Below are 9,524 nucleotides of genomic sequence, written 5' to 3'. Positions count from 1 at the left end.
CTAGTGGTGTGAACCTATAGGAAGTAGTGAGGGTGGACTGAGTCATGACTTAGGTAAAGGGAGATGATTCTAGATCACGGAACATGATATAGATTCTAGATATGAGATTCTAAACTGTGTTTGGTGCCAAGGCACACATTACTAAGACAGTCTGTGATCATGTACTCTCAAGAGGATCATATATTTCAGCTGTGTAGCACTGATTTATGTGCCAGTTATGTTCCAGTTATAAATCAAAGTGTTCTAGTAACACACATAGTTAATTATGAGGACTATCTGCAGATACAGGCTTCTCCACTTCAAACGAGTCAACCAACTCCACCTGAAGAACTTCATACAGTTGGCTACGTGTTTACAAATGATGGGCAGGTAAGATAACTATTTCTATTTCCGCCCTAATTGTGGCGTTTTTAGTATAATTACTTTCTTATTGAAAAAATAAACGTGAACTATAGGTGTTAATTCTCTTGATTTAAAAGATAAAACATGACACGGGAATTCTTATGTGAACATAAAATGGGAACTTTTTGATCCAAGAGTGGATTCATTGTACAAGGAACTGATGTTTTTAATTATCACATGTAATGCTCATAATTGTTCTGCAGATGTGTATTACTATATCCCCTTTAGTAAGAAATAAAGGCTGACAGTGGTCAAATGGCTTGCCCCAAGTGACACATGATAGGAGGTAGAGCCAGGGTTTGAACGCATACCTTTCTGACTCCAGACTCTATATTCTTTCCCACTCCCCACAATAACTCCTTTCATATCGAGATTACAGTCTACAGTCTCTGTTTCTCTTATCCAAGTCTCTAGTGCTCTATCTAAAAAATGACTAAGTATTCCTCATGGAATATGAAGCACTAGGTGATGTTGCCATAATTGGATTGTCCTAATGGAGATCTTAATGTGAGTTTTGTGTTGTGTATGAGATAGACATACTAACTTCACCATTAAAACATGAAGACAAAGGAGATTGCATCTGCAGTTGTGGATCAGACCATTGGTATAAAGACACAGGTAGGCAATAATCTCTTCTGTAATAAAACCAGACTAAAGTTATTCCACCACAGTCCCAAAACTCCTCAATTAATTAAATTTTTCCTCAATTTTCTGTGCCTTTATTTTCTCTTTTTTAACAATAGAGATAAGAATCGCACCTCACTCATAGGGATTGGCCAAGGATTGAGCTAATACATGTAAACCGTTTAGAACAGTAACTAGATGGTAGTAAATGTTTGGTAAAAATGTTTTCACACATTCTAAGCCCCTATTTTATAGGAAATGAAAATTGTTTGGAAAATTTTAAAATCAACATTATATATAAATGTTTTTATTAAATAGTATATGTAATAAAATTGATATAATAAATATAAATATGTTTACTGTTATTAATATTTATTGTTAATAAAATAAATGTAAATTTTATTAAGTATTAATAAATTTGCACAATAAATATAAATATATTTATTAATAATAAATATATAATTTTATTATATTGTTACATTATATTATATAATATATTTATTATAGATATATTTATAATATATTTATTGTATTGTAATTTATTATAAATTATAAATTTTATTAAATATGCTCCTGCATATTTAATACAGGAGCATATTCTTTGTTTTTCAACTTTTATGTTTTGAGGTACATATGCACAATGTGCAGGTTTGTCACATAGGTAAACATGTGCCATCGTGGTCTGCTGGATCTATCAACCCATCAACTTGGTATTAAGCCCAGTATCCATTAGCTATTCTTCCTGATGCTCTCTCTCCCTACCCCCAGGCCTCCCCTGACAGGCCCCATTGTGTGTGCCCCCAAGCCATGTGTCCATGTGTTCTCATCATTCAGCTCCCACTTATAAGTGAGAACATGCACTGTTTGGTTTTCTGTTCCTGCATTAGTTTTCCGAGGATAACGGCTTCCAGCTCCATCCATGTTTCTACAAAGACATGATCTCGTTCCTTTTTATGGCTGCATGGTATTCCATGGTGTATATGTACTACATTTTCTTTATTCAGTCTATCATTGCTGGAGATTTGGGTTGATTCCACCTCTTTGCTATTGTGAATAGTACTGCAATGAACACACACGTGCTTGTATGTTTATAATAGAATGATTTATATTTCTTTGGGTATATACCCAGGGATAGGATTGCTGGATCAAATGCTATTTCTGCCTGTGGATCTTTGAGGAATCACCACACTGTCTTCCATATGGTTGAAGTAATTTACACTCCCACCAACAGTGTAAAAGCAGCCCTTTTTCTCCACAAACTTGCCAGCATCTGTTGTTTCTTGACGTTTTAATAATTGCCATTCTGACTGGCAAGAGATGTTATCTCATTGTGGTTTTGATTTGCATTTCTGTAATGATCAGTGATGCTGAACTTTTTTTCATGTTTGTTGGCTGCATGAATGTCTTCTTTTGAGAAGTGTCTGTTCATGTCCTTTGCCCACTTTTTAATGGGGTTGTTTGATTTCCTTTTGTAAATTTGTTTAAGTTTCTTGTAGGGTCTGGATAGTAGACCTTTGTCAGATGGTCAGATTGCAAAAGCTTTCTCCCATTCTCTAGATTATCTGTACACTCTGATTATAGTTCATTTTGCTATGCATAAGCTGTTTAGTTTAATTAGATCCCGTTTGTCAATTTTTGCTTTTGTTGCCATTGCTTTTGGCATTTTTGTCATGAAATCTTTCCCCGTGCCTATGTCCTGAATAGTATTGCCTATATTTTTTTCTAGGGTTTTTATAGTTTTGGGTTTTACATTTAAGTCTTTAATCCATCTCGAATTAATTTGTGTATAAGGTGTAAGGAAGGGGTCCAGTTTCAATTTTTGCATATGGCTAGCCAGTTCTCCCAGCACCATTAATTAAATAGGGAATCCTGTCCCCATTTCTTGTTTTTGTCAGGTTTGTCGAAGAACGGATGGTTATCGCTGTGTGATCTTATTTCTGAGTTCTCTATTCTGTTCCATTGGTCTATATCTGTTCTTGTACCAGGAAAACGCTGTTTCAGTTACTGTAGCCCCGTAGTATAGTTTGAAATTAGGTAGCGTGATGACTCTAGCTTTCTTCTTTTTGCTTAGGATTGTCTTGGCTATTCTGGCTCTTTTTTGGTTCCTTATGAATTTTAAAATAACTTCTTTTCACTCTGTGAAGAATGTCAATGGTAGTTTAATGGGAATAGCATGGAATCCCTAAATTACTGTGGGCAGTATGGCCATTTTCACAATATTGATTCTTCCTATCCACGAGCATGGAATGTTTTTCCATTTGTTTGTGTCCTCTCTGATTTCCTTGAGCAGTGGTTTGTAGTTCTCTTTGAAGAGGTCCTTCACGTCCCTTGTTACCTGTATTCCTAGGTACTTTATTCTTTTTGTAGCAATTGTGCATGGGAGTTCATTCATGATTTGTCTCTCTGCTTGCCTGTTTTTGGTATATAGGAATGTTAGCAATTTTGCACATGGATTTTGTATCCTGAGATTTGCTGAAGTTGCTTATCAGCTTAAGAAGCTTTTGGGCTGAGACGATGGGATTTTCTAGATATAGGGTCATGTCATCTGCAAACAAAGATAATTTGATGTCTTCTCTCCCTATTTGAATACCCTTTTTCTTTGTCTTGTCTGATTGCCATGGCCAGAACATCTGATACTATGTTAAATAGGAGTGGTGAGGGAGGGCATCCTTGTCTTGTGCAAGTTTCAAGGGGAATGCTTCCAGCTGTTTCCCACTCAGTATGATATTGGCTGTGGGCTTGTCATATATGGTTCTTCTAATTTTGAGGTATTTTCTTTCAGTGCCTGGTTTATTGACAGCCTCTAATATAAGGGGGTGTTGAATTTTATCAAAGGCCTTTTCTGCATCTATTGAGATAATCATGTGGTTTTTGTCATTAGATCTGTTTATGTGATGAATTACATTCATTGATTGGCCTATTCTGAAACGACCTTGCATCCTGGGGATGAAGCCAACTTGATCATGGTGGATACGCTTTTTGATGTGCTGCTGGATTCAGTTTTCCAGAATTTTATTGAGGATTTTTGCGTCGATGTTCATCAGGAATACCGGCCTGAAGTTTTCTTTTTTGGTTGTATCTCTGCCAGGTTTTGGTATCAGGATGATGCTGGCCTCATAAAATGAGTTAGGTAGGAGTCCCTCCTTTTCAAATTTTTGGAATACTTTCAGTAGAAAAAGTACCAGCCCTTCTTGGTACCTCTGGTAGTCAGGAGCATATTCTTCGGTTATCCGTTGATGAAAACAGCTTTTAGTTTACCTACTATACCCTTGAATTTCATGTTTTATCTACCATCAACATTGCAAAGCACTCCCTACCCCTGTCTGTCTCCAAGATCAACATATTGGAATAAAAGATTTATCATCACTTAACACACATGATGCTCTCAGAAAAGGCAAGTTAATTTAATCTAGTCTCAGTGAAACAAGGGAAGGTAGAATACAAGGTGTTATCCAAAGTCAAACATGGTATAGTCAAGATTAATCAGAATGCTTGGGAAATGAAGCATATAGATACATATAGGTAGTGATACATATAGATATAATGATATCTATATGTATCTATATGATATGCATAATGATACACATAGATATTGAAAGGTAGGATAGATTGAAAAGGTAAATGTTCCCACTATGGAGGTGTGGGAACATTTACCTTTTCAATCTATCCTACTGTTCACTATCTATATGTATCATCTAATGAAGTATTAATCAGTATTTGTTAATACGTAGTTTTAAAGCACTGAAAGATAAGAAAGGTATTTCTTTTTTTTTGTCCCCTAACAAAGGCTGAGACAAAATGATGTGTAATTCATTAGAGATATAACCATATGTTTATTCTTTTGGTTGATGAAAACCACTTATTCCCCACGCATTCTGGTTTATCATGACTGTACCATGTTTGACTTTGGATAACACCTTGTATTTCACCTTCTCTTGTTTCACTGAGACTAGATTAAAATTAGCTTGCCTTTTCTGAGAGCGTCGTGTGTGTTGAGTGATGAGAAATCTTTGACCTGTGCCTAAAACTTTATATTAACGATATAAATGCATGGCTGTGTATGCATATGAAGACTGTGACTTTGCAATGGTTGGATTTGTCTTTAATGGAATATGTTCACTGATGTTTTTCAGCAAACAAGGAGTGATGAAGTAAATCAGGTTGCAACAGGGCATCAAAGCAAACAGAAACGTTCCAGAGAATCCAAGAGACACTCTTCATCTAAGAGAAGGAAGAGTATGTCGCGGTGGTTAAACAAACAGGAAGGTGAGGGGGAATCCAATCTTTGGGCCTCAACCATGTCAAAGGACATTTGTAGTCATGTCCTTGAGGGATGAACAGATATGAGCACATTTGCAAGTGGAAGGGCAAGGTTCTAATTAGGTGTAACAATTTGGAGTTGCTGCAAGCATTAGATGAATAAAGCAGGTTCCTGAGGCAGAAGGAGATGGTGGGCTCAACAAGAGGATGGGTCTGCTCACTTTCTGCCTGTCCTCACATTCCGCTCTAACCCAGTGTGGTCTGGCTTCTTCTTAGTGTATTCCAATGAAACTACTATCATCAAGGTCACCAGTGTTTGCTGCACTTTGGCATTAATCTCTCAGCAGAATGCAACACAGTTGTTTACTCCCTCCTGCACGGAAAGCTTCTTGGGTCCCGAGGCACCTGGATTTCTTACCCTGTTACTAGAGACTCATTTTCCTTCTCCTTTTTGTTTTTCTCCTCTCCTTTCCCACCTCTAAATATTTCAGGGCGCCAAAGCTTCATCCTAGACTCTCTTCTCTTCACTATACTATCTCCTTAGGCGATGCCATGCTGTCTTAGAATTTTAAATGATTCACACTACAAGAATTCTCACCATTATACTTCAACACTGCAACTTGCTCCTGAAATCCAGACTCAAATACAACTACTCGCGTGGTATCTCTACTGGGTGTCTAATAGACATCTAAAATTCAACTGGCTCTACATGTTCAAATTTCTGACTTCCCTCTCTCTAAAAATACACTACTTTCAGCCTTCACTATTTCAGCTAAAGATACTGTCCATTAGGTGAAACATCCACAAAGGTGTAACAACCAGCTGTTCACAGGTATGGGGGATTGAGAAGTCCTGGTTTTTAGAGTTTGTAGGTATCCATAGTGCGGATAATCCCACCATGATCTAGTTCAAACTGTCAACATAAGGTGGCTAAACCAGATTCAGGAAGAGTTGGCTGCACTCAGCTCTCACAGTCGGTTGCCTAACACCTCCTGAACACCCCTGGTGTACTCTTACTTAGTAGTTCAAGTCAAAATACTTAAAGTCACTTATGAGTTATCTTATGATTCTTTTATTACTCTCTCATTTCCCATCTCTTAGCAAGTCCAGCAGTCGATGCCCAGTATAAATTCTGCATCCAACCGTTTCTCTCTTTCCCTCCAGTATGTACTGATCTCTCTTCAAGCTAGTAGAATACCTTCTTAGCTCTGTGTTTCTAATCTTCGCTCATCTATCGCATACTCTCTAACCCTGTGGCTAGATAATTACGTCAGCACGTAAATCACATCATCCATGTCCCTCCTGAAAACCCATCCTCATCTCTCCTAAGCACTCAGAACAGACCCTGAACTAGCTTTGGTCTGCGAGCCTCTGCACAGCCTGGCCTCTGTCACCCTCTCCTAACGCGGGTCCCATCCATTTCCTCCTGGCTCTCTCTGCCTCTGTCCTTCACCTCTGTAGTGCCCGGTCCATCCCCACTCCATTCCCTACCCTTGGCCTCACTGCAGCCTGGAACTCTCCCTCTGCCTCTGCACAGGACGCTCTGCTTCTTCCTCCAAGCGCTGCCCAATGGCACCTCTTCAGAAGGCCCTGCCAAACCAGCTGCAGCCCCTGGGGCTCCCTCTGCTGCTGCCTCCCACAGGCCCGTGGACTGCTTCCCCAACACCAGCTCAGCGCTGTTTGTTTCATTTGCTCATTGTACATGTTTTGTCTGACTGCCCCATGAGGATGTGAGCTCCACAAGGGCAGGGAACGTTGCTCTCTGGGCTGTTTACTGCTGATTCCCAGCTCCTGGCATGCTGCCTGCCACAGATGATGAATAAATGAAAGAGGTGTCAGACCTGGAGTGAAAAGAAAGCCACTTTTTCTAGACAAAGGGGAAGGATCTGTAGAATCATAAAAAACACAGATGTGTGATGATGGAGTGGAGATAAGAGTGTTCAACTCCAATAGCCACCTCCATTTTTTCAGAATATTTGAGGTAGAAAGGAGGCAGGTTAAGGAGGGCTCAATTAGTCTCGCTTCCTGCTGTGTACAGCACGGCATTTATAGGTGAACTATAAAAATAATATCAAATGAGAAATGTAAAGGGCAGCAAGATGATACAAAATGATGAGTACTAAAACCTGTGAATGTTTATTCTGCTATCGTACTTCTTTACTGTATTCATTATGCCAAGAAGTAAAAAGGCAGTTTTATTGTATTATCTAACCTGATCTCTGTTTGCAAGATCTGAGATTTCCACGTGGTAAATACTTCTGTTTCATGAAATAAATAATTTCCTAGAAACTGATTAATACATAGCTGTCCCTCTGGGGGAGGATGGGACAAAACATACCTATCTTGCAGCTCAACCTCTTCGTTTGGTTTCCAGATGCTAGTATCACTCACAATGTCCATGAAGAGAAGATAAAAAAAATGGCCAACCAGCACCTGGTAATGTCGTCACTACTGTTCCACCAGCGCTTATTAATATAGCAGCAGCTGGTATTTCATCCATGAGTACCAGGGATCGGTGTAAGTTTGCTAACTTGGTATACTGTTCTACTTCATTTCCACTATGCACTATATGCATAGTGTCATGAGGAAAGAAGGTAATTTTGTTGTATTATCTTTTCTGGCCTCAATTTTAGGGTTCTCAAATTGCTACCTGGTAAATCTTCCTTCTTTATGAGATAATTTCCTAGATACTGAGCATCAGAGGGGTATGCCTGTGTGGTTGACATAATGCACTTACCTCACAGCTCAACCACTTCATTTGGTTTCCAGATGCTGCAGTCACTCACATCGTCTGTGAGGAGAAGATAAATAACGACCAGCCAGCACCTGATAATGTCTTGTCAACTGCTCCACCATGGCTTCGTGATATGGCAGCAGCTGGAATTTCATCCACGAGTACCAGGGATCTGTGTATGTCTGCTTATTAGTTGTACTGTCCTACTTGGTTTCTCTAAGCAGGCGTATTTTCATGAACGGTAGAAGGTAATTTTGTTGTATATTCCTTCCTAGCCTCAATTTGAGGGATGTCAGATGGCCACCTGGCATATTGCTTTCTTTGATAATTTCCTAGAAATTGAGCATCAGAGGGATATACCTGTGGGGCTGACATAATGCACTTACCTCACAGCTCAACCTCTTCATTTGGTTTCCAGATGCTACTGTCAATCCCAATGTCCATGAAGAGAGGATGGTAAATAGTTAACCGCAACTGGATAATGTCTTGTCAAATGTTCTATCATGGTTTATTAATATGGCAGAAGCTGGTATTCCAGCCATGAGTACCAGAGATCTGTGTATGTTTGCTTTCTAATTGGATTTTCCTACTTAGTTTCCATATGCATGCATAGTGTCATGAAGGGGAGATGGTGGTTTTGTTGTATTATGTTTCTTGAGCTCCATTTGAGGGGTCTCAGAACCCCGCCTGTCATGTCCTCCTGCTCCATGCAATAATTTCTTAGAAGCTGAGCATCAGAGGGATATACCTGTGGGTTGAAATAATGCACTTACTTCACAGCTCGACCTCAACGTTTGGTTTCCAGATGCTACCGTCACTCACAATGTCTGTGATGAGAGGATGGAAAATGACCAACTGCAACTGAATAATGTCTTGTTAACTTTTCCACCAGAGCGTGTTAACATGGCAGTAGCTGATTTTTCGGCCATGAGTCCTAGGGATCTGTGTATGCTTGTTTACTACTTGTACTGTCTTACTTGGTTATTATATGAAGGCATGGTGTCATAAAGGGAAGAAGGTGGTTTTGTTTTATTATCTTTCGTGACCTCAATTTGAGGGGTTTCAGATCACTACCTGGTGTATCCTTTCCTGCTTAATGAGATAATTTACTAGAAACTGAGCATGACAGGGATATACCTGTGGTGTTGCCATAATGCACTTACCTCACAGCTCAACATTTTCCTTTGGTTTCTAGATGCTACCATCAATCACAATGTCTATGAAGTGAGGATGGAAAATAACCAACCACAGTTTAATAACGTCTTGTCAACTGTTAAACCAGGGCATATTAACATGGCAGCAGCTGGTATTCCAGCCATGAGTGCCAAGGGTCTGTGTATGTTTGCTTATAAGTTGGATTGTCCTACTCGGTTTTCATATGCATGCATAGTGTCATCAAGGGAAGAAGGTGATTTGGTTGGTTGTACCTTCTTTCATGAGCTCAATTTGAGTGTTCTCAGATCACCACCTGGCATACCCTCTCCTGCTTCATGAAATATTTTCC

General features: G+C 39.2%; 1 pseudogene across 1 annotated transcript; it reads left to right on the top strand.

The window, feature by feature from the left end:
• The first annotated feature begins 339 nt into the window (after window positions 1-339).
• SAGE2P (sarcoma antigen 2, pseudogene) lies at window positions 340-7,768 on the top strand (annotated as a pseudogene). Its single transcript, NR_147090.1, has 3 exons — window positions 340-369; window positions 5,160-5,292; window positions 7,661-7,768. The product of NR_147090.1 is annotated as a sarcoma antigen 2, pseudogene (transcript).
• The last annotated feature ends 1,756 nt before the right edge of the window (window positions 7,769-9,524 follow it).

This window comes from Homo sapiens, chromosome X (genome assembly GCF_000001405.40).
Source record: "Homo sapiens chromosome X, GRCh38.p14 Primary Assembly".
Classification (NCBI taxonomy): domain Eukaryota; kingdom Metazoa; phylum Chordata; class Mammalia; order Primates; family Hominidae; genus Homo; species Homo sapiens.
The sequence above is the reverse complement of the archived record's forward strand: the minus strand, read 5'-3'. Positions and strand labels throughout refer to the sequence as shown.